This window comes from Homo sapiens, chromosome 2 (genome assembly GCF_000001405.40).
Source record: "Homo sapiens chromosome 2, GRCh38.p14 Primary Assembly".
NCBI lineage: Eukaryota > Metazoa > Chordata > Mammalia > Primates > Hominidae > Homo > Homo sapiens.
Window position 1 is genome coordinate 114,760,457 of NC_000002.12, and position 26,484 is coordinate 114,786,940.

At 36.4% G+C, this 26,484-nt stretch overlaps 1 protein-coding gene across 10 annotated transcripts in view, besides 1 other annotated feature; it reads left to right on the forward strand.

Moving 5' to 3' along the window:
* Positions 1–26,484, forward strand: part of DPP10 (dipeptidyl peptidase like 10) — a 1,403,140-nt gene that overhangs the window by 317,816 nt on the left and 1,058,840 nt on the right. The window lies entirely within an intron of this gene.
* Positions 9,314–9,841: an enhancer, noted in NCBI's record as "NANOG hESC enhancer chr2:115527347-115527874 (GRCh37/hg19 assembly coordinates)". NCBI's record gives its function as "activates a minimal SCP1, AML or CMV promoter by ChIP-STARR-seq in naive H9 embryonic stem cells {active_cell/tissue: H9 hESC(naive)}" and the evidence as "EXISTENCE:reporter gene assay evidence [ECO:0000049][PMID:30033119]".

The following is a 26,484-nucleotide window of genomic DNA, read 5'->3' on the forward strand; positions in this document are numbered from 1 at the left end:
GTCTTCATTGAACAAACTTCTAACCTGGAAGTACAAGTATTTCATTTTCCTCAATTCCTTACTGTTTTTTATCTATATATTAAATATATATATATATATTTTCCTAGGCCCTCTCCCACTTGGACAAGTACCTATCTCTCAAACCCTGCTTCTGGGAAGCCTTATATAAGATGCACTGTCTTCACATTTGCTGCCCTGTAGCATAAGTAAATACAGTTATTTAACTTAGGATAATGCCATATGATTTGCCAAAATTGTATTTTGAATTTTGTTCTAGACAGAAGAAATTTTATATCATTAAGATGAGTGAAATTCCTATTAAAAAGGATAAAAGCGCAACTCGATTTCTGACTTCATAAAGATTGAATATTGTTTCTTACTCATTCTACTTGGAAATAGTCAAGAAACTCTCTGAAAGTAGAATATTTCAAAAAATTCTGAGAAAATTAAGATATTTAGAAACAAAAAGGATAGCTGTTTTGAAAAATAAGTAAAGTAAGGGAAATCAAAAAATTTTTCTTGACTACTTTGACTTTACTGGGTATATCACATACATTAATAGATTCTGATAGCACTTCAGTTTTTTGTTGTTTTCTCCGTGTTGCAGCTAAAACATTGGGGCTCAGTTGACTTAAGAAATTTGCCCAATGTCGTATAACTAGCCAGTTTTAAGTTTGTCCTAAGGTATCTGACTCCAAACCCTTTGTGCTTTTCTTTCTGCCAGTGTACAGTATTCCAATGAGTGCTAATTAAGCATTTAAATAGCAAGAAAAGCAAATAAAAAAAAGATGGCGTACTTTCAGTAATTTAAGTAAATCTGGGAAATACTATATATTATATCCCTGTTGGGAGATAATTCTCCCTGGATCTCATATGTTTCTATAAAGTCTGAGTCTTATGAGCAAAAGCATTTATAGTCAATTTAAGACTGTATAAGGAGGCATTCCAGAATAGTAGAGGCACTTTTCTCCCCTCTTAAAGAGACTCGCTCGTATGCTTGTATTCCTGGGTACTACAGATAATATCTCTCTCTGTAGGGCAAGATAGATGGGTTTGCTAGCTGTGTTGTAATAAGATTGGGAATTTCCTAAGCTCAGTGTTCTCAGATGTAACCTAGACCCCTTTGTGCACAGCATCCTTTGGGTCCTCTGCATATCACCCCCAGGGGACTTGAGGAGCAGCGGGGAACCAGTGAAAGCGCAGAGCTCAGGATGCCTCCTGTGATGAAAATAACAAACTGTCTAAATCTATTTGAGCTCACTGGCTCCTTACCAGCCAAATCTGTGGAAGTATGGAAACCACTGCAGACACTTCCCACCATATTACTGCTAAGAAACTGCTTTACCATTTGACAATCCTCCTCCTAGGAATTCCAAATTCCAAGTGAGGGCTCTGAGAAGACTTCAGATAAGGAAACCCATTGATTTTTCATTTTACCTAATGTAACTTGTTTTCCTCTCTTGGATATTAATAGGAAATGCAGCTCCACAGAGACAGAAAGCCAGGCAGCCAAGCCAGTGTGGGGTCTCTGAAATAACACTGTGCTAGCTGCTACTTTCCCTGTCTCATTTGAAGATTCACTCTCCCCCGTCTAAGCACACCCAGAAGAAATTCATGAAGCAGATGCTACGCCTCTGAGTCACTGCTTTTATTTGCTTCTCCTGTATCCACCACCTTCTTAGCTTTAATTACATGGTTTGGCACATTCTTAAGGTAAGGATAAATTCATAACAGAGATTTTCTCCTCTTAAAGAGCAGCTCTGGAGGAAGCCTTAAGCATTAGATCAAGAATCCACTTAGATGTCTATGCCTCTTCTACATCTTTTCTTCTGCTTACTCTAATTGCTATGCAGTCCTATCTAACCTCTAAAAGAGTCTGACTTTCTTCTCCCTCCTGTTGCATTGCTTGATATAATGGTATAAACAACTAAGAAGCTGAAATAATATGATGTGAACTTTCCTAAAAGCCAGTCTGAGAATTCTGCAATAGGAGCTACTAAGTAATAAAAAAGAACTCAGCTGGAAATATACTTTGAAAAAATAAATTGGAAGATGGCTTTAAATGCTTTTGAGTAGTCCCATGGAATATAAAAGGAAGCAGAACACAGAAAATGATAAACAAAACTTTCAAGACTGACTCAATAAGTAGCTCTTAAAATAGCTATGAGTTTCCCTCCTAACACCCAGCAGGCTGCCAATAACCAGACAGACAAATCGAACAATTAAATGCTATGAGGCAGCATCAGAAAAGATCCATAACAACATTCTGAGCAGAGCCTTAACCACTGCCTGAATAAAATGGTCCCAGGCACAAGAGGTTGTTTCTGACCTGGACAAAACAGTGAAAAGGCTGTGAAATGTATTCTTTTACTGAGCATCTGTGATGTGACTGATAATCTAATGTGTTCTGGGAATGTTGAGATAAGAGACACAGACTTTTTCAAAATGTAGGGAAGGAAACAGATGAGTAAAATAGTCAATAAAATATGGTCCAGTAAGGTTATGATATATATATGTCATATGTCATTGGGAGATTGGGGGAAAAACACTTCACTCAGATGTGGGGTGTTTGAAGGGCTGAGTCCTCAGATGAGACTTTCTAGGTGAGGATAAATTTTCCAGGTTAAAAAAAGATCAGCAAATAGAGATTCTAGGAGGACGTGGTGTGTTCAAGGGCATCAAGCCATGAAAGGGCTGGTGCTTTGGGAGATACCGCAGGCCAGTCTGGCTGGAGTGCTGAAAACATGTGAGGACAGATTGTGAAATGACTCTGGAGCTTGAAAAGAGGTAAAATCATGAAAGGCCTTTTGTGTCACGCTAAGGGACTTGGATTTCATCCTGAGAGTGAAGAAGAAACCACTGACACGATTTATAGTCAGGTCTCACTCTTTTTCTTTTTCCTCTTATGGCCTTCAGCGGGCGCTAACACTGGTTGGCAGAATGGCCAATTCATAATTTATAGATCAAAGTATGTACTTCTCACAAAATGAATTCAAAAGTGATTAACTTTTTCAATATACTGTGTTATCACATCCTGACTTAATTTGTTTTTCTCCTGGTTTAAAGTATGTTTCTGGATGTACAAAGTAAATCTTTGCATTTTACAAAGATTTTTTTTTAAAGCCAATATAAGGAGACTTCGTGGTCTATTATATATGATAATAAGTTCCAATTGGAAAGAATCTGGTAGTGTTAATAAAGAATCCTTAAAACCAAAGAAGGGACCATGTTTAATGGGAACATTTATAATGCACATATCCCAGTAGCAATTAGAATGGGGGAGGGAGAATCAGCAACAGATCCATGAGAATTTGGCATATGTGGCCTCTAGCTTTACATAGGCTGATAGATTTTCAGTCAAGCTTGAATATGGAAGTCTTGAAAACTCTTTCCTCCATCCTCTGTTTCCTAGAGATTACTCTTTCAAGTGATCTCATCATTGTCAGCCTCTCTGATAAGATCCTAGACCCTGGCTGCAGTTTGACTCCAGAGTACTCTTTCCTTTATATTATCTCCACAGACCTGGCTCTTTTGCAGAAAGAAATTTTTAAATTTGGGACACTGAAAAGAGCACATCAAATACTGAAAACTGTTTCATGAGGATCAAAAGCTTGCTCTCTTTATGCAGCTACTTTTGGTAAATACTGCTTAAATAGTTACTAGGAAGTCTTCAACTGTATTACTAAATGATATTGCAGTGAACATCAAAAATGGGAGGATAGTTCATTTAATCTGAAAAGCTGCATATTTTTATATTATGTATACTGCAGTGCTTGACATAGCTCACTGTTTTTCATTTCCTTGCAACTGCTGGCCTCTTAAATTGCCTTTTTTTTTTTTTTTTATCATGTTTCTGTTACATTCAGGCTCTTTCTTGCTGAGTTATTTTGAAAAAAAAAAGAAAAAACAGTTTTGATCTCAAAGGTACTGATATTAAGATTTATCCATACAATTAAAAAATTTTAAATGTAGGCCTAGAAAGACATTAGAATTGTTCCAGACTTTTTATAGCATCAAATTTCCTCAAGTCTCTACCATTGCTTAAATTTGTCACCCAGCTAATGTGTATGAGGTCAGTAAAATGGAAGTACTGGCATTTCTATTTGATGAAAAGTTCTATTTAATTAATTATATTTGTCCCCATGAAGCCTAATAATGCATCAAGATTGAAAAAAATTATATGTATACAAATATATAAAGAAGATAAATTTATAATATTTATTTTGGGTTAGAACACAATGTTGCCCCATATAAATAACATTTTGATGTGTTAAGAAAGAAAGAAAACAACAGTTAAATAAACCACCAGTTAGATTGAGTGGGAAAGTGTTTCCTTCCTATACCTACCTATGCATTTAATATTTTGGCTTAAATTTGCAATTTATGAATGCAATTTTAGAGAAGGAAAAAACTTCATTTATACTGAGTATGGTAAGAATGTTGTGGGGAAAATTCTAGTTATTGTGACCTTGAGGGGTTAGGCTATTGTAATATGCCACATATTACATATGCCACTCTGTGTACAGTGTAGCAGTAGAATTCCAGCTTTTGAATGAACATGGTTTCAAATGATTGGTCCATATTGGGGCCATCATTTCAATCAGGAATTACCAGCTCTGTATATTCCAAAGGTTATGAGGGGGCCTGTAACATGGCACATTTTCATTTTTTCTTCTGATTCTTATTCTTTCAGAAGTAGCTACCTTTTGACCATTATCAATTTTTAAAAATTGTACTTTGCACGTTTAATCCATTTTTAACCATACAATAATTACACTCGTGTGGTGGTAAAATTATGTGTCGTTGGGGAATGCATATAAAAACTTGATGTTAAACATACCATAGATTCACTCAATTTTTTGATGGGAAATTTTCTGAGCAAAAGCTGTCTAAAAATGGTTCTGATATATCCCAAAGAGGTTATGAATTGCATCATTTACCTAATTAATTTATTCACTCTTGCTCATTCATTCTGTAAGTGAGCATTATGTGAACAAAGAGGCACTACTAGGGCACAAGTACAACAAATACGAGAGATGGAGCCACGAGCATATGCTTCAGGCATTGTGGCCGAGGACAGGCTTCAAAAGACACTCCTACTACAGTCGGAAAAATCTGAGATCAATTATAAGTAACATGCATTGTATTTTAGAACTTTTCTGATATTTCAAAAGAGAAAAGAAATTTTCCAACGGCCTAAACACACAATAATTAGCTAAAACTTAAAATAATAATATAATATCGAACAATTTGGAAATTCCAGCTTACTGTGGTGCATTTATTGCTATCAGTGCTGAGACTGGGAAGCTAACTTGGGAACTTCATTGAAAATATTGGAAATGAAACTGAGACTCTTACATTTGATTCAGATCTACAAAGGCTAGGATAGTTTCATGTCAGTAACAACCTCTGGCTCCAAGCATAAGTAATAAAAAAATCCTAACTGGAGGAAATCTTATTCTTTTTTGCCTCTCAGGGGTCATACAGATTAAACTCAATCAAATGTGAGTTCACATTAAAACTCAAAGCAATAAATGTAATATGTAAACCACCATGAGTGAGTGTTTGCAGAAATAAGAAACGTATTTAGACTCTCAAGGACTTAAGAAATTAAAATTATTATATACAGAATATAAAATAATATATGAAAAGATCAAAGAAATAAAAGCTAAAACACAAAAATGAGCATGGAATAAAAAATTATTTTAAATAATTAAACAGATTTGGAAAAGACCTAAATGGAACTCTCAGAAACCATCATCACTGAAACTAAAAATTCTATGAGTTACTGCACTCCCATTTCATCAGCTAAAATAAAAAATAAAAATAATACCAAACGTTTTGCAAGGATTAAGAGACCCTGGATTTCTTAGACATTTCTGGTGGGAATTTAAAATGATACAGCTACTCTGGAAAAAAGTCTTCATCTTCTTGTAAAATTAAATATGCAATTACTATTTGAAACCCAGCAATCACATTCTTGGACATTTATTCCAGAGAAATGAACTTTTATTCACACAAAAACCTGCCTCCTAACATTTATAGCATTTTTTTTTACTGGAAACAACCCAAATATCCTCCAGTGGGTGAATGGTTAACAGGTTCCAATGCATTCACACAATGGAATACTACTCAGCAATAAAAAGGAACAAACTTTTGCTATAAGCAATAACCTGGATGGATTGTAAGAGCTTTACACTTAGTGAAAAAGTCAAATTTCAAAATATTACAAATTGTATAATTTCATTTATGTAACACTCTTGAAATAACAATAATATAAAAACCTGTAGATATGGAGAACAAATTAATAGTTGCCAGGGGGGCAGAGATAGGGGTAGGATTTGAATATAGGTAGAGTTCTTTCCTATGATGACACTGTTCTGCATCCTGATTGCAGTGGTAGTAACATGAATGAAGTTAGGCTGAAACTGCATAGCACCACAGACACACACACACGCACACACATACACACACGAGAGAGAGAGAGAAATGGACTCAGGTAAAAATGGTGAACAGTGAATAATGTCAGTTATCTATTTAACAGTGTGCAAATGTCAATTTCCTAGAGCGAAACTAGTGAAAATTTCATGGGACTCTGAGTACTTTTGTTGCAACTTCCCATGGATCTAAAACTACATCAAAACTAGAAAAAAAAAAAAAAAAAGCTTAAAGCTAAAATTAAAAAACAACAACAACACACCGAAGTATCAAGACCATAGTTAGACAGCCAATGCTCAGGTAGGATAAAAGCAAAAAAAAAAAAAAAAAAAAAAAGTTTTAAACTGAAAGAGTGAAAGATAGATTTGAAGGAAATAGCCAAAAATAAAGATATATAATATATATATATAAATATATAATATAGAAATATATAATATGAAAGTGGTGCTAAGAGACACGAATGATAGAATAAAAAGGTCTAACATAGACCTAATTGATGAATGGAGGAGAGGCGAAATTTTAAAAAATAGTAATTTATAGTACCAAAAAATGATGAATGATATGAATCCACAGATAGGAGTATTAAAAGGATGCCCATGATGTAGACATGTTATAGAAAAAGTAGAACACCAAAGGAAAGACAGAAAGGGAAAATACTAAAAGCATTCAGAGAAAAGAGAGATCACATAAAAAGCCAAATCATTTAGACCAAGGGTTGCTAAAGAGGGCTGCACATCATAATTTCCATGAGGTTCTTTTGACTATCAAATGCCATACTCACCCCGGTGAAATCATGGTCTTTGGGAGTAGGCCTAGACATAAGAACTTTTAATACTCACCATGTGATTCCAGGGGTTGAGAACCATTAATTTAGCTTGTGAGTAAGCTTTTCTAGTAAATAGGCAAGACTACCAGTGGAATACTATCTTCAAAGTTCTCAGAGAGGCCGAGCATGGTGGCTCATGCCTGTAATCCCAACACTTTGGGATACCGAGGCAGGCAGATCACCTGAGGTCAGGAGTTTGAAACCAGCCAGGCCAACATGATGAAACCTGAAACCCCATCTCTACTAAACATAGAAAAATTAGCCGGGCATGGTGGTGGGTGCCTGTAATCCCAGCTACTTGGGAGGCTGAAGCACAGGAATCTCTTGAACCCAGGAGGTGGAGGTGGCAGTGAGCCGAGATTGTGCCACTGCACTCCAGGTCGGACGACAGAACAAGGCTCTGTCTCAAAAAAAAAAAAAAAAAAAGTTCTCAGAGAAAAAAAAAAATCAATCCAGAATTATATACCAAGCAAAATGAGATTGATATAAAGACATTTTCTGGTAGATAAAAGCAGAGATTGTATCACAAAAGACTTCCACCAAAGGAATTTCTAAAGGATATATTCCAAAAGGAGAAAAATGAGATTCCCAGGATGTTTGATAGTTAAATGAGAATGGTGAGTAAAGAAATTGGCAAGTGTGTAAGCAAATATAACAGGCATTATCCTTAAGAATAAATGATCACGACAACAATAATAATCTCTGTGTGAGGTTTAGAAATGAATATATGCTGAATAATGTTTCATGTAAGTCAGAGGTGGATCAGTGTTAAAGTGTTTTAAAGTACTCAAATCATCTGGATTTGAAGTTGGTTCTCTAATTTTAAGGGCTCGTGTTATTAGATTGGATCCTCCTGGATAAGTCAGGATACTTTCCCCATCTCAAGGGTCGTACCCTTAATCACATCGGCAAAGTCCTTTTTGCAGTGTCACATTTTCCAGGTATCTGGATGTGGATATATTTGGGAGCTATTATTCTGCCTACCACAGGGCCACCTGTCAGAAAGAGAGGGTCAAATTACAGAACACAGGATAATGCAAGTGTTCCCAGGATCTGTCTTAAAGGACTCCAAAATGGGCAAGGTCGTTGTACATTCAATATTTGATAAAATATTGAATGTTCCATATTTTCATATTCAGATAAATTTCACTTTGTCTGAATCAGATTAGTGGTAGGGCAGGGGCTATGAGATGATAGTGGAAATCACATTTCAGATCCTGAATGGCATTATAAGGCACTTTAGAAGTTGACATTTATTCCCAAGGGCAATGGGGAACCTCTTACATATTTTTATGTATCAAGAGGAAGACTAAATTAAGAGTGGAATAGTAGGGTCATCTCTCTGCTTGCTGCTTAGAGAATGCATTGACAGCATAAATCTAGAGGACGGAATTAAGAAATACAGTTTGAAGTTTTAGAGTAGATTAAATGAATGAAGGAATCACCTGAAGAGGCACAGTGGTGTGGCCGATAAAACCCAGGAATCAGAATACTTGGCTTGGATTAGTGGCTGTTTTGCAGTGGATGTTGCTTGATAACTGTTTGAATTCTCTGAGCTGGTGGTTAACTGTTGGCAACTTGTCATCAACTACAGGGGGAGTATTTGTACCGGAAAATCTGCAAATGCTCTCCCACTCTTCCCCCAGAGCCAGAAGCCTCCGCAAGCTAGTGGTGGTGTGATATTGAAAAAAATAAAACCCTCAAATCCTCCATCCTCGATACAGGGAAGCTAGCATCAGTGAGGCTCACTTCATAAGGTTGTTTTAAGGTTCAAAATGAAAATAGGTAGTATGCATGAGGAAGCAAGGTGATGAGAAGTTGCTGAATTTTGTTTTGATGCTTTTGCCAAGTATTGTTACTAGTAGGGTTCTATAAACAGAACCTAAGTCAAATTACCTGTTTAACAATTTTCAGTAGGTCAAATGTGCTCTCATTACTAGAGTATGATTCACTTGGATTATTACAAATAGAAATGTAAATACCTATGTAAAAGAACATATATTCCTCATATGCAAGTGTATACATATACGTCCAGGCATGCACACAACACACACACATACACACATACACAGGGAGTTAAGGTGACATACAAATGTCTTTTTATCTTTCAAGTTTATACCCAAAGACATTGGAAAAGGGAGACAGATGAAGATGAGAATGTCAGTGTCATTTTCCTGAACTCATTGGAAAATTAGGTTTTAGCTCTTTGGCCAAAGGTGTTTGCTGACTCCACGCCTGACACAGACCGAAACACTAACTGATCTCAATTTCAGGCAATGCTAGAAAACCACAGTTCTCCCCAACATGAACAAAGCCTAATCCCATGTGCACAGCAGGATGGTTTTAAAAGATGCCATTTTGTTGTTGTTGTTGTTAGCAAGCTGATTCTAAAAGACAAAGAGAAAAAATAGAGTACCAAAATACCCATGCAGGGTTTCTTCCCCTAAAGGCAGCAGTTGTATGGGAAGCATTCCTGCCTCTCTGGGGAAGAGTGAGCCCGGAAGAGGGATCAGGGTTCTAATTCCATGGTTCAGTGCTAGCTAAGGGGACCTCATACCTCTAGAAGGCTCCTAGTAATAGCGAAAAGGGAGGATTTATATGATTGAAGAGAAGAACAATAACAACAGTACTGTGGTACTATTAATTTATTTTTAGGAATTACATTACTTTTTTACATTACTGTAGGAATCCATATACATGCTAGTAGTAATACTTCAACTAGATGGAAACATGAGAAATGGGGACATTCACACAATGGTGGTAAGAGAGTGAATGGATCCCAACTTTTGCAAAATAAAAATAGCACCGTGCCGTAAAACCAAAAATGTGCTTTCTCCTTTATTTAGTAATCTCAGTTATAGGAGCTTAATTTATATTTAAAGAGCAAATAAACACTAAAGGAAGACATGATACTTGCACATTTGTATAACTGGGGTGGAGGGAGCACATGGGCTACAAAATGTAGAAAAATCTTATACATCAAGCATAATTTTGGCCTTGAACAGTAATGCCATTGTTTAGCTCTGAATTTCTTTTATACCTTGAGTCCCGCTATAGAATTTTTGCTATTGTTCTTTCATCTGTAGGTCCCTTCTCTACAAGGAATAATCAGGATTCCAGGAACTACTCATATACTCAAAATTTTTGAAATGAGTTTTATGTCTTGGCCACATCTCCTTGATATCCTTCAGCAAGAAATATGTGGTTATAAAATCAAATGGGAAAAAACGACTGCAATGGTGGAAAAGGTTTTATTGTCAGATACACTAAAACACTTTGGATATGAATGTTATGTTTAATTGATATAAAAGTCTAAACACTTACCCACTGTGCTGTGATTATGGCCAGGGTCATTCTTCAGAGCTAATTCATTTAGAATATGTTAAGAAAAATCCTGTAAGCATCAGTAATTGAGGAAAATTGAACTCTTGAACTTTTGCCAGATATTTGGCTGTATGCATTTTATGTGTTAACTGAGAAGAAGCTGACAACTTGCTACATTCTGAAATCGTCTCAGTTGAGATTTGGGTTGCAGGAGACATTAGCCATTAGCCCAACTGCAGGGCTATTCACTGTGGCCGTATCATACCAGTGCTCAGGAGACAGCAGTCACACCTAAGAAGTATGTCCTTCCTCACCTGGACTGCTCTCATAGCAAAGCCACCTGAACATCCCTCGTTGTTTTACCAACCAGATTCATCATCTGCTTCCTGATTCGGCAACGAGCATCACCTGTTACCTGAGGGAGTCCATCCTTGTAAGAATAAGAAACTTGACTAAGCAAAGTTAGCATGTGGTTGCGTCTTCAAAGAGCACAAACGATCTTGTGAAGGCGATTGTTTGGATACCAAGAAAGATAAAGATCTCTTTCTATCTTTAGTGATAGCACCCATAGGTGAATAGAAGGAAGGAGGCTCCGTCTTAGCCGGGAGGAAACTCACTTGTTCAACATCACTGGAACTTCTAAGTTGAAGTGGAAAAGGGAGCATGTGATTTTCAACACTTCCAACACTTCCAAGAGTAGCATGTTTCCATAGTCATGCATAATCTCAGTCTGATTTGAGGCTAAGAAAATATTAAAAGTTTCCAACTCTTAAAAAGTATAGGAGTCCCACGGCCTGGACACATAGTAAAACACTTAATAAACACTTTAGATTTTTTTTTCCAAGGAAGCAGATTACGTCTTGAAACACCCTTTACTCTCAGGCCAGTATGGTACGGTCAGTAAGAGGTATCAAGTAAAATTAATTATTGAAGAAAATTCTTCATTCTAGAGTCTAAATAATTTCTCCTGAGATAATCTTTTTCCACAGTTATTTTATTATAATGGGATTACCCTAATAGTCTTTGCTAAAAGAGCTGAGATACATAAAATTATTTTTTCATAGTATAGAGTTCTAAATCTTTATGTCCTTATTTTATTTATTAATATTATTATTAATATTATTATTTTTGGAAAGAGAGTCTCACTGTGTTTTCCAGGCTGGAGTGCAGTGGCATAATCTCGGCTCACTGCAACCTCTGCCTCCCAGATTCAAGCTATTCTCCTGCCTCAGCCCACCGAGTAGCTGGGACTACAGGTATGCACCACCATGCCTCGCTAATTGTTTTGCATTTTTAGTAGAGATGGGGTCTCACCATGTTGACCAGGCTGGTCTCGAACTCCTGACCTCATGCGATCCACCCACTCGGCCTACCAAAGTGCTGGGATTACAGGTGTGAGCCACCGCACCCAGCCACCTTTTTTATTTTCTTTAAAAATCAAAACAGAACATATTTGACTTAGGCCTTTATCAGACAGAGAGAAGGATGCACATACCTAAGCTGGTAAATAATTATGTCATCCTCATTTACAGTATAGGAACTTTCTCCGTAATTATTGTACTTTGAGGATTAATTTTCCATATCTCATGTGTGTTCCTTAAGATTTCCACCTCATACCTTTTTTTTTTTTCAGCTAAAGCATAAATGTATTGACTCAATCTCAGTTTAAGAAGTAGGGTCAACAGAGCCTTAGGACCATCTCCTGGTGGCTAACCATGAATTGTTTCCTTTCATGATTTTTTTAAGCACATGTTGAGTTAGATGCCAAGATTCTGAAACCAGATGGAGCTGACTCAATGAGCTTCCATTTATGTTCCAGCATGCCAGCATTAGCTGGGTTCCAGCAGATACTTAAGTAATGAGATTTGAGCAACATCTTCCCCAAAGTATTATCTTCTTTAGCCTATTGTAGTTTATGAAATTTGGGGGATTAAAATCTGGCTTAGAGAGAGTAGGTCACTTCAATTCTCAAAGCCTTCATTTTCTTATCTATAAAATGAAAATAACAAAACCTACTTCATAAGGTCTAGTAATGATTACATTAGAACATCTGGTAGAAGAAGCCAGGCAAAGTGACTACATGCTGTGTTATTTCTTTTATGTGACATTACTGAAAAGACAAAACCTTAGGAAAATATTAGATCCATATTTGCCAGTGATTGGTAGTGGGAACAGCAGACTGACTAAAAAGGGGCACAAGGGAAATTCGAGGAGTGATATGCTTTTTGTCTATCTTAATTGTTATGGTAGTTACACAACTATTTACATTGTCAAAACTCATCACGGACTTTTAGTTTATACAAATTATAACTCAGCAGGCCTGACTTTTTAAATGAACACTCATCACGGACTTTTAGTTTATACAAATTATAACTCAACAGACCTGACTTTTTAAATGAACACTCATCACGGACTTTTAGTTTATACAAATTATAACTCAACAGGCCTGACTTTTTAAATGAACATATGTAATGGGTTTCACACACAATGCAGACTCAATAAACAAGCCCTGCTCACAACTTCTCTCAAAGGAGCCAAGCACAACAGGTACTTAAATTAATGTCCTTTACATTGAAAGGTATTATATAAAACCAAAGCAAGCATTTTCCATTTTTAACACATTTCTAAGGCTTTTGCATTTCCATAAAGAAGGCAGTGATGACTCATGATGTGATTTTAAGAATCTGAACTTACTAAGGTCCCTTGAAAGTAACCACAAAAAGGCTAGATCTAAAATATATTAAAATCCATATACAATTAATTGTAGAGTGATTCATATAGATACAGTCTCTATTTTGTATTGCTTCTTTTTTAAATAGTTATCTGCTAGTGAACAAAAAAATAAATATATACTTTTTGATATTTCAAATAGATATCAAAAAGTATATATTTATAGCTTTTGAAGTATAACTTTTAAACTTTATCAAATATAAAAGTATATATTCTATTTGATATATAGGTATGTGTATGTATATATGTATATTTATTTGATATATATGTATTTGAATAGAAATAGAAAGTGAATACTAGTAACCTGATGGCTAAGAACGATCACATATTTATATGTATTCATTCAACACATGCACTGTGGGTTGTATTCTGTGCCAGGAGATGAGGATGCAGGGATGAATAAATAGTATTTCTGTCCTCAAGAAGCTCATACTTTATAGTGATTTAGAGACATGTATGATGAAATTGACACTCTAATGTGAGTCTGAACAATTTTTAGGCAAGCAAATGCTCTTCATGCACTACATTCCATAACCAACCTATGCACAGCAGTAAGTGGAGTCTTTGGGGCTTGGTTTTTGTTACCACGTTTGTTACAGAATGCCATATTTGGACCTATGACAAAAAAAAAAGTAATCTTAAGTCAGGCTTGCTTATTGGAGAATAAAATAGAATCATGAGGTAGGAGATTTGGAGGGACTCTGTTACAGTCAAATAATTTTATTTTAAGGAAAGCAGATTTACTCCTTAACACTATCTTAAAATCAGGAGAAAATGTAAGAAACTTTCATAAAATATTTAATATAGTTTCAAAGTTGTGAGCGTATCACTGTTCAGAAGTTAACTGCAAAACAGAGATGACTATATTTGCCATAATTATCAATAATGATGTATATATATATATATACTCTATAGTTACACTGGGATGAGCATTAATGGATTGGTAATGAATGAACAACAGCAATGATTCAACAACATTAGTTGGCTAAAGCTTCACAAGAATAAGGAAAACACAGCAGGAACCTTATAGAGGTAAGTGAAGCATGAAATTCAGTTACGTCTTTGACCTAATAGCATTAGGTCAAAGCCTTTCAACTTTATCTCTTTACTAATTATGGAACGAACCCTGTTTAAACTCTTCATACCATATAATTCTCTAAGCAATTCTTAGTGGTAGTTATTATTATTCACATTTTAGCGATGAGAAAATTGAAATCCAGATAGATCAAGTGACTTATCTAAGATAACCCAACCAGTAAGTGGCAGAGATGGAATTTGACCTCAGCCAATCTGGGTCCTGGTCCCCACCCTTGACTCTGTATGATACAGTGTTACAACAAGAGCATGGGTAGAGATGCAATTAGAAGGTAAGAATTATATCTGCAAAATCTTGATTAGTCCTAACAATAATAATGTAGTCACTACTGTTAACCCAACTTGATGCAGGCTAATAGCTAAAGGTCATAAAGTGTCCAAAGAAAGATTTAGTAGTAAGTACAATATCCCAGGAGAATCTACCTCCAGAGTGCAAGTCGTTATACTACTCAAGTTGATATCTTCCAATGTAGGTGTCTAAAAGCCCTTTCTAGTTCTGAATTTCACTGATTCTAAAAGGGAGTTTGTGGTTAGTATAGCTGGTGGGGGTAGACTTACATTGCTGCCAAGTGCAGAAATACACTAAAGCCATGCACAGCAACTCAAGGGTCAGCATTTTTGTCCCACTTCTGGGCATCCTGAAAATCCTTTCTTCTTTGAGCTTCCTCAAAATCTTGTATAAACTGGGCTTAAACTAGGTAGATCTCAGCTGGAGGGAAAGTTCTAGCAGGCTGAGGAAGCCTAGAAAGTTTGCATTCTCTAAGCAATGTTAGCATGAACTCTTTGTACTCATTACTTCTTAGTATATGGCAGCAGCTTCAGAAAGGTGAGTCAGGAAACATTCACATTCCCAACAATTAGAATGTCACCACTCTTTGTTCATTCTTTTGAATTATAGTCAAGAAGTGTCTTATTAATTCAACACAATGCATAAATATATCTTGAGTATCTCCAATGAATCATGTACTGTTCAAGCCTCTGGCAATACAAACAATAAAAGACACTCCTACGTCTCAAGGAACTATCACTTTGGGTGACAGAGAGAGACATCTAAACAAATATACTTACAATGTTGGTAATACATTCATGGAGGCACATGGGAAGGACCCAGAAGCAGAGGAGGTTCACTGTGCTTGGATGCAGATAGCAGGAGTTAATATGGAAGAAGTCAAGAATGTCTTCCCAGAGATGGTGAAAAACAAAATGAGTTTTGAAGATATGATGGGAAAATACACTGATTTTTAGATATAGCTCTAGATAAAAATAAAGAGACAAAGTGTTACAGGTAAAATTAGCTGCAGATACATCTTAGTTGTCATGTAGTTGATCCAATTGAGTGAACAATTGAACAACAATTAGAACACAAACAAACCTCCATGATCTGAGGCCTGCTGAACTCTCTTTTCTGACAGCCCTTCCCACTGCACATTGGATATAGAATGATGCCATGGCATTCCATGCATCCATGCCTTTGAACACACTATCTCCTCTGCTTGAATGACCTTTGCTGCTTATGTAGAAGGAAAAAACAGTTACATTCATACCTAAGGTTCCAGAGCTTCCAAGACCTTGTCAAAGAAAATAGACTCCTAGCTTTTCTCTACTGAATGCAATCTCCGTTATCAGGCCATAAGCTCCTTAGGAGCTAGCGCTAGATCTGAGTGAACACTGCCAGTAGTGTGATGAATTTGGCTTTTATAGGCTCAAAAGAAATATTGTTAAATGTACAACATTTTTTGAGCCATTTGTTAAATTTTTGGCAGCTTGAAGTCATCTATGGTGGGAGCTGACAAACACTACATTAAAAAAAGATCAAAAAATTTGTTGGATAAATTACATTAGAGTAATTTTTAAAGTCACATATTCAAGTTGTAGTGATTTAAATTAAATAAAGTTAGTGCAGATTATAAGAATTGATGAGTATTGAATTGATGAGTATTGGAAAAGGGGATGAGTGGAGACACCTCTCTGAGCAGTGTGAGTTTTGAAAAGGAAATCAAATTATTAGAGAAGATAATGGTAGCCAAAAAGACTTTCTAAGGATCAGTGTTCTCATAATTAAAAAAAAGAAGGCATAAGAATTTCTGCCAAACATACTTTTTCAAAAATAAAAAAGATATATGAAAATGTTTTATAAACCATGTAGTACATAACTATATAATATATACATTATATAGTGTATAGTTGCAATTATTGGACTAAAAGCAGTTAATACAGGCTTTACATATGTTAAGACTTTTATTCAGAAGTAAATGAAATGTACTCTTTGAGAATGGGTATATTTTATTGTTTTTTATAACCATATTCTCATTTATTTTTGAAACTCTTCTTAGAATAAGAAAAGAGTACAGGAAGACCAACAAGTCACATTCAAACCTTATAATTCTGCAGCCTAGGAAACACTGTCTTGTGCTGGAAATGGCTTCCTTTCTTCCTGGTCCAACTTTTTTGAACTGCCCATGGATTTTGCACTGTACAAATCACAATCCTTAGAAATATATTACCCACATACATTTCTGAAGAGGGTTTTCAGGGCCCTTTTTTGAGTATTACTTTTGGATATATTATTCCTACTAAATTATATTTCTTCCAGAAAAAGTTTTGAAAAGTTGGCAACCTCCCTATTTCAGTCCTTCATATTATGCCACTTGTTACAGTCATAAACAGCAAGGAAAGAAGGAAGTTTGACCAAATGCAAATGGCTGGGAAGAAGTAGCCCTTTCAGAGTTGCTGAATGTCTCGTGTGAAAATGCTTTGTGGCTGAGCTTAAGAAATAAATATAAAGTAGTATTTAAATCCTCATCTCAAAGCTTCTATCAGTAATAGATATGAAGCCCAAAGCAGTAAATGTTTAAATGACTACTTTACATCTCTTAAATGCAGTGTTATGTCCTGGCTATATGGTAATGACATCATTAAACAGAAATCCTTTGAGCCGCAGAACCAAGATGCTTTATAGTAAGTTCTATGAAGTTACATAGTCAAAGAGTTCACTGTTCTTTAAGTTAGACTCATATCCGCAATTTTATGACAGGTTCTGCTTAAATAATTGTAGGGTAGTGGTAAAGCATGGACTTTAGGGTCAATAATCTGAAGATCTAAATTTGAATTTGTCGTGTCTTTCATTAGTTAGCTGACATTCTGGATTTCAGTTTCAAGACCTTTAAAATGGGAATAATAGCAATCATCTTAAACATGTCCAAGAAAGAGTGAGACAATTAAATAAATACATTACTAAGAAGGGCTATAAATGAAATGTTATTATAGGTATTAGCATCATCATTATCATTCATTACCCTAATCATTATCATCTTTAAGCAATATTAAGGGATGACACTTACAGATAGACTGAGTCTTACTCTCTGGGTCAAGAAGGTTATTTCAAAATGCAAGTTACTAAAGTATATTATATATGCAAAACATTTGGCTTATTAAAACTCAAGTGTCATGGCTCATAGCCGAGACCTGCACTTTCATATAAATGTGATTTGATCATATGTATCATATTCAAAAATATCTATTAGTCCTATAACGTTAGCCACAGTGGCTAATTTCTATAATAGCTTCACATTTTAGTTACTTACCAACATAAATATTTATTTCTTATTTATGTTACAGTAAACTTAAGTTTGCTTGGGTGGAAGGTTGTCTCTTTTTCACGCAATTATTTAGAGTTCCAGGCTTCATCCATCTAATGGCTTTGTTAAAGTCTAGAGTCTTGGAGTGTACCACTGACTCCGTTAATCTGACCGGCAGATAAAATAGTAAAGAAATCATGGAAGCTTGCAAGGAAAGTACATGAACCAGGCCTGGAAGTGGTATATACCACTTCCATGAAAAATCCTACTGGTTTAAAATCGGTCGCATGACTGCACCTAATTGCAAAGGAAGCCAGAAAATGTAGTCCACCTATATGCTCTGATGGAAGATAAAATGGATTTGATGAGTCTTGCCAGCCTCTGCCATAGGGTTCTAGCATATTACAATAAATTATGAATTTAATTGACCGAAAGACAAAGCGCAACTTAATGGTGTCACAATCCCATGTTAGTTATAAAAAATAATGTATAATCTATTCTCCCCTTTATGGTTACTGTAAAAATTAGTAGCACCCTAGTTAATTCAATGCCAGAAAGCAGCTGTCTTGAGAGTTCATGGTCTTAAGCTTTACATGCCTGGGCTCTATTTTTGGTCCAGTGGAGTTGGTACCTCTGGGGCCTGAGTAATCCCGTGTTGCAGCAGACAGAGTTCCTCTGCTGCAGTCAGGCCTTCTCATCAGTGTATACCCCTGTGAAACTTCCAGACTACACAGAATAACCTGGCTTTCTCTCCTGGATGTGGATGTGGACACTAAATGCTCTTCATCTGAACGAAGAGGTTTGTGTTTCATAAAGATTAAGCTAACTATGAGGAAAAAACAGGCAACCAGACTCTTCTGAGATTTTCTGTCTGCATATAGACATCAATATAAACATAGGTATATGTTTGTTCAGTATGGCTTTTATTATTAACAGAACAAGAGCCAGCTCCCTGAGAGCTACCCAAGGTCCTAAACCACCTCTGATCAAAGTTATCTCATATCTAGGGTAGCAGAGGACTCCTGATTTTTCAGAGGACCTATTCCCGTCATATCTTATAAAATGTAATGATTGACTTCTTACATACAAGCTGCTAATTTTGATATGGTCTAAGCTGATATCAGTTTACGCTGAGGACTTTTTCATATCCCAACATAACTTGACCTTTCATCCCATTTGATTGCATGGTCTGTTCATGACCAGCCCTGACCTGTGATAACCCTCCTTTATAATATTCTGGTGTTAAGGATGCCCAACCTTGCGCTAAAGTAACCTGATAGACCCAGAAATGCTGCCAGTACAGCTATTTTATCAGGTGGGATTTAGATATTTATGCTTCTGTGATCATGTTTATCAAAAATTCCAAAAACATTTTCTCATGAGGATAACATAAGAAAGGAGGGAAGGGGCTGAGCACGGTGGCTCACGCCTGTCATCCCAGCACTTTGGGAGGCCAAGGCGGGCGGATCACGAGGTCAGGAGATCGAGACCATCCTGGCTAACATGGTGAAACCCCATCTCTACTAAAAATACAAAAAATAAGCCGGGTGTGGTGGTGGTCGCCTGTAGTCCCAGCTACTCGGGAGGCTGAGGCAGGAGAATGGTGTGAACCCGGGAGGCGTAGCTTGCAGTGAGCCGAGATTGCACCACTGCACTCCAGCCTGGGTGACAAAGCGAGACTGCGTCTCAAAAAAGAAAGGAGGGAAAGGAGGGAAGGAAAAGAGGGATGATTGATTTTCCCTGCCTTACTCACAGGATCAAATATGATAATGCAGACAAAACTGTTGTGATGATATAGAGTATTTTTGTCATCTAACTCATCTAACTCCATCAAATAATAGGATAGCTTGGTTTTGAGAAAACAAGTGACAAATTATCATACTTATTTTTCTCATGAAATATCCTTCATGTGTGATCTTTATATTCTTTGGAAAATCTAAAAGACTTACAGTTAGTCAAAGTAAGCACCAACCTAAGTTCCAATCTAATTTCAGAAGTCTGAATCATTATTTTAATTCTTTAGGGTACTGGAAGGAATTTAGGTTCAAGATAGCTGTGAACAATGTGTTTATATAGTAAAACAAGATTTATTTATTTGTTATCACTAAATTCCATTTAAATTTTACAATAGCTATTATTACAATAACACACTATTAAATTACAACTGCATTTATGTAGATACAACATTCCTCAAAAATGTTGTTTGGTATTTAAAGGGCATTATTATGATTATCAGAAAGAAATTTTGTTAAATTGCATTTAAGATATCTTAAATGTTTATCTAGTTGATTGGTTGATTTATTGACATGAGTAGAATATTTTAAATTAGTAGGCTACCTAGTTAAATTAATGAATTTTTATCTTTAGTATCATGAATGAAAATGTTGCACATGTTGAGAATGAATATGAGACAGTCTTTAAGTCAAGAGCATTACAATCTGATTGGGAAGATTATTCTATTGAATATCATTTGTCAGTTACTGTGAATAGAATGGTGAATGAGACATTTAATTTGCATGTACTTGTCATATCTTTCCTACTAGGATATAAGCTTCAAGTTTCAGAAGATGAGAAATGTGTTTAACATCTCCCTCTCTCTCTTTTTGTACAGCTCTTGATTGTCACAAAGTCCGATGTGCTTGTAGTTAGCAAAAATAGTTGGATAAGATAAATAAATGAATGAATAAATACACAATAACATTTTGTAGAGAGGATGTAATAGATCCTAGGAACTTCCATTTAACCTGTGAAATCTCTCCACACATACAGTTCAGAGGCAAAATGTTCTGGTTTTCTAAATCCTCGTGATCACATCACTGTTGTCAGTTTGCCTTAAAGAAAAAGTTGGAAAAGCTCATAGAGGCTAGTTGCTTTTAGCTGTGAATCTCCAAATACTTGAACATTTCAGAATGAAGCCAAACACTGTTTAAAATATCAGCAAGTGGTTATCCATGGATGGTGGGATTCACGGCTTAATGTTTGTTTATGTTTTCATTTATTTATTATTCTTTTGCAGAGGGGCACAGATAGATCCATTATTTGTGACACATGGTACAGGCATTTGAAAAGATTCATTGATAGCAACATCACAGCAAGTAATACAGAAGTCCATATTGTTTTTCCATCAAGAGTTATGCTGAAACTAGCAGAGCTTATGCTATGAAAAGCCCCCTGGTAGAGAACCTCTTCACCCTAACAGCCTACATATGTGGGAAAGGGAAGCAGGGCATATCTAGATGAGTATATAATTGGGGGAGCATCTTGAGAAAGACAATGATCTTTTTCAAAAGGGCCAAGCCTCGTGATCTCAGCCTCTGGTATCTGCCTGTTCTTCCAATGAGTTCTCTCAGGTCTGCAGAGCTAGCTGCTTGCTCATTTATTGAAAAGGACTGGAAGGAGCGTCCAGGGCCATCTGCATTTGTCTCTCCTCACATGCATCTTCTAAATTTTCCACAATCATCATGTTCGTAATAAAAACATATAAGGTGTTTTTTGTTTTTACAAGGTAAATTAAATTGTGTATGATATTTTTTATTCTTTAAATGTCGTACACAAATGCATCATCGCACTTTAGCCTTAATTGGCCAACCCTGGGTATTATCCTGACTAACAATGGAAGAAATTAAAGAATCATGAGTCTTCAAAGTCAGCTTTTGAAGCCAGCCTCAACCTACTTAATTACAGTTGTGCGTGTGTGTGCATGTACGTTGCATATTTTTTAATGGAATCTTCATACTAGTCATGAGAATGGATAGTCTTCTATTTTTCTTTTAATTTTGCGTATAAGGAGAGATGGAGATTATGATAGAATAAACAAGTTGCTGAATGAAGGACACACAGTTAAGAAGTGACTTAGTCTTACCTCCAGTGAAACCTGTGGAATATATATATATATATATGGAATATATATACACATATATGTATACTGAACTTTGCAACAATTTACTTGATTTACATTTGGCTCTTTTACAAAAAGTCAGAGTGAGAAAGAGAAAATTCCATAGAATTAGAATATTCTAATTCTAATTTATACAAACTATCATGGGTTTATAGCATCTGAAGGCACCCATTTGAGTAGGGGGGTGTTACATTGACTAATATTGACCTATTTCTGAGAAGACATGAAAGTTAAAGGGTCAATTGAGTGTTGTTGTTTTCAAGACCAGTTTAGCTCCTCTTTTCATTTTATAGTCACATTTAGGAATTCATAGCATTCAAAGCCATGATAAACAGATTATGCAAAAGTAAGTAAGTGGATAGTGACTATAGTTGCATTTTATGTTAACTGCATCCTTAAAATAAACATTAGCATATCACAGCTTTTCTAGAGAATAATTTCAGTGATTTCAAATTAGCTTGTTTCAGTAATTTCACATAATGCAACCCACAGAGTGCAGTGAAAAGAACAGAGTGAGGACCACCAGACCTCAGCTTAAAAACACTCCTCAGCTTTTTGTTACAAAAAGAGGCAGGTAGTGTAATTCTTCCTTGTAATTTCTACCATTCAGTGCCTATGTAATAATAAAATGAGAAAGAATTGATAGAATATGCTAATCCAAAAACATAAACCATTATCTTTATAAGGAAAATTAAAATACAGATTAGAAACAAAAAATATCTCTGAACAAAGTCATTAAAATTAAAAACTAATTTAACAAGGGTTTAAAGATATGTAATGATATAGTATAAAAGCTAAATTAAAGTATCTAAAAGTAAACAAGTGTTGAAAAGATCTGTAACTCACTTATTGGAAATATAAAACTGCATCAAAGCGAAAATAGTGTAAATAGCTAATAGAAAAAGGAAAGGTGCTTAAAGAAATGTAACCTAGAAACAAATGATAAATAAAATGACAGCAAATATGCATCAGAATTAAAATACAAACAAAAATAGTTGAAATTCGAAGGTAACTATTTTCTGTACTTTCCATCTCTTAACACATTTTCACCCTCTGTAGGGTCAAAGACAGAACAGATATAAGAAGAGTGCGTTAAAACAATTTACCTGTTCTCATAGAGACAGGAAACAGTTATTAAATAACTAAACATATAAACATAAAATATTTGCATTTTATACTTGTTTTATGTAACTTAAACTGTTTCCCATCTGCCTGGCATGGTGGCGCACATCTGTAATTCCAGCACTTTGACAGGCCAAGAAGGGCAGATCATTTGAGCCCAGGAGTTTGAGACCAGCCTGGACAACATGACGAAAACCCATCTCTAAAAATGCAAAAATTAGCCGGGTGAGGTGGCGCACACCTGTGATCCCAGCTACTTGGAGGGCTGAGGTGGGAGGATTGCTTGAGCCCAGGAGGTCTAGGCTGCAGTGAGCTGTGTTTGCGTCACTGCACTCCAGTCTGGGTGACAGAATAAGACGCTCTCTCTCTCTCCTCCCTCCCCCTATATATATTCCCCATCCTACCTCTTGCTCTAGTCACTGCTGTAGTGATCAGTTTTTCCCCTAGACAGAGCCTCCTTTTGTGCTCTGTAAATCCTCCAATGACCCATTTCTGCCTCCTGCCTTGGGGTTTCTGTAAGGCTGTGGCAAGTAATGCCAGAAAAACCTGACCTGCGCATGTACAACCAAAACCAGAAGCACAAGGGAGTTAATGCCTGTGAGGCTATCCTTGAGCAGTGGGGGTTGGGACCTGATGTGAAAAATCTGAAATATAGTATATGCAGGTTCACAGAAGTCCCATTGGGATCAAGAACCTCCTGTAGTGTCGACTAACCTGATCAAATAACACTATTTTGGCTTTCTTCCCATTCATTTTTGACTCCCTCAGCTATCACTCACTTTATAGATAAAGTTCAGAGTTCAAACAAGTTATGTAACTTACTCAAGGTCACCCTATTTGTAAGAAACAACAGCATCTGTCCTCAATGCCTTCCTTTAGAACTGAAGGCACTTAAAAATATTTTCTACTTTTACCTCTTTAAAAAGAGGTAGGTTTAAAAACCTGCCTTCTGTTCTTTCTCCCCATTCAGTGACTTCAAGGTATGCATGCCCCTGTCTGATGTGAAGATGTCACTGGCGACTGCCTATTACATAAAACCTTCTCAAATATGTTCCTATAAAAAATATTATTCCAGAGAGCACATGGTTGATCCAAACGGGCTAATCTCTAATGCTGGAATTCTAGGTTTCTTTGTTCCTGAAATTGGTCAAGTCTTTTCCCCCCAATATCCATAACCATAATATGCAGTTTGTCACTCAGGGAACTCCACACAGGCACCTATCACAGTTTCCTGGTAATAAAAATTAAGAATATAGTTGCTCCCATCTTGGGTTGGTTTCAAGTACATCAATAGAACAACTTATAGAACTGTCATATTTTAGAGAAAATTGCAGAAAGCAGTGTTTCCAGTCATTTGCTAACTGAGCTAGAAATTATAATGGCATGCCAAATTAGACTGAGCTGTAAAAGGAAGATATTCACATTACTCTTCTCTGCCCTCACAGTATGCATAAGACACTGAGAGGCCTGCAATTCTTATTCTCTTAACTAAACGTTTTTCAAGTCTTCCCCATTCTGGGTGTTGTATTTTGCTCCATTTATTTTGCCTTGCATCCAGTCACCTTGCAGCTGTAATAACTTGTTGGCTCTCTAGGGAAAGTGGGGTTGGAGTCCTTTCTGGTCACCGGATGGTTGAAGGATGTGCACGGCTGAACTGTTTACCCACACCTCATCCCTCCTCCTGTTCTATTTTTGAGAACTGTGTGTTTCATAATTTTAATAAAAATAGAGATCACACTGTTTATTTGGCAGAGGCGATGAGAATAGGGCATGCTTTGCTGGATTTTTTTTTTTTCTTGAAATTTTCCTTCTCACACTGCTGCCCGGTCTAAGGTGAGAAGTGGCTGTTTCTATGTCTTACTGTCTTAGGTGTCCCTCTGCCTGCTGTCACATAAGCTGTTTCTGGCAGCTCTGCCTGTGACCAATTCTGCTGTCTCCTGCTGGGAGGCTGACACCTAACTGGACCCTTTGTTTTCCAGAGTGGAAAGAACCTGGTTTATGCAGGCAAGAAGATAGTATCCTGAGAATGAAAAGTTAGATACTGTCTTTGAGCCATGTGAAGTGCAAAAAGACACAAACAGTGAACAGCTCGTTAAATTAGGAAATCTAAAACACAGGCCTCAAATGAGAAGCATTTGTGTCCCCAAATCTCAACTCCTATGCTCAGGAGTTTCACTGAAGATTTACTGTAGAGGCAATGTAGAGGGGCCCTGGGAGTTTAACAATGAATATAATGTAGCCCCACCCTGGAAACAGACAGTCTAAGGGGGAGCTGAAGACTTTGTACAATAGATTTTAAATTCAGAATTTATTGTATTTTATTAATTAGTTTTGGGGTCTAGTTATTCCACGTTAACCTGTAAAAGTTGCCTTGAACTATAAAGAGGTTAAATAAACAACTAAGAGGAGTAACATAAAATCTGTATTCTGGCAGCAATGGAAATGTGGAAGAAGGTAATCACATTTTCTTTTCCTGACCTCCAGACCAAGAAGTAAGATTTAAAAATGGCTTGTTTCAGCACACACAGCCCCGTTTTCATTTTCACCTATCTCTGGCCTTCTTATGCCAATACCTCGTGCCCAGATACTCCTATTTGGAGAACAAGAGCAGCAGCTTAATCAGATAAAAGTAATATTTTTCTTCTTCTTTCTAGCAAAACTTAGATTCTCATAGAGCAGAGTCTCTCAGCTGTGTATTAGGGAAGAAATCAACTGATTAAGCTAAATTATTCTATAGTGTGAATGACTGATAGAATTTTTGTTCTAGAAACATTAGTGTTTTAAATATAAGCCTTCCTTTAACTATTTACCTTAATGATTTGTGTTTGGTGCAACTTACTTCTTTAGAAGGACACATATTCTCAAGGACTCCTAAAAACACATCTTTGCACCCTCCAGGGTAGGAGAATAATGGATGGAGAAACATTGCTCTGCCTCAGTGATTTTCGAGAAGCGAGAGAAAGGTGTCTGCCCAGATGGTGAGGCATTTTGAAATGGAGCCATGGTGTATTTTGAAAAGAATTACAGCAATACTGAAGTGTAACATCGTGTGTAGAAAATGAAGCACAGATATCCACAATTCTACGATCCAGATTCTCTAAAGTAAAATTTTACTTTAAAAAGTCATTGTGAATATGTAAAAAATACAGAAATTATCAGGTAGAAAAATGTCTCATTAGGAGCTCATCCAGAACCTCCAGGTGTTTTAATCGTATTAAAAGTAATATAAACCAGTATTGAGCACTGATCTGGTTACTGGTAATTTAGTTCATATCAAAGTGAAGTAAAGCAAATAAGCAAAACAACCAAAGCAGTGTGGTGTTCTGGTCAAAAAAGCCACCTGGGCCAGCGCTGGCTGGGCCTCTGGAAAATTGGGAATCCATGGGCTCTCCATCATTGTATAGCTGCTGCCCTCAACCATTCTAATCACACAATTGGAACAATCCCGACCCCTCCCCTGGTGTCCACGGTGC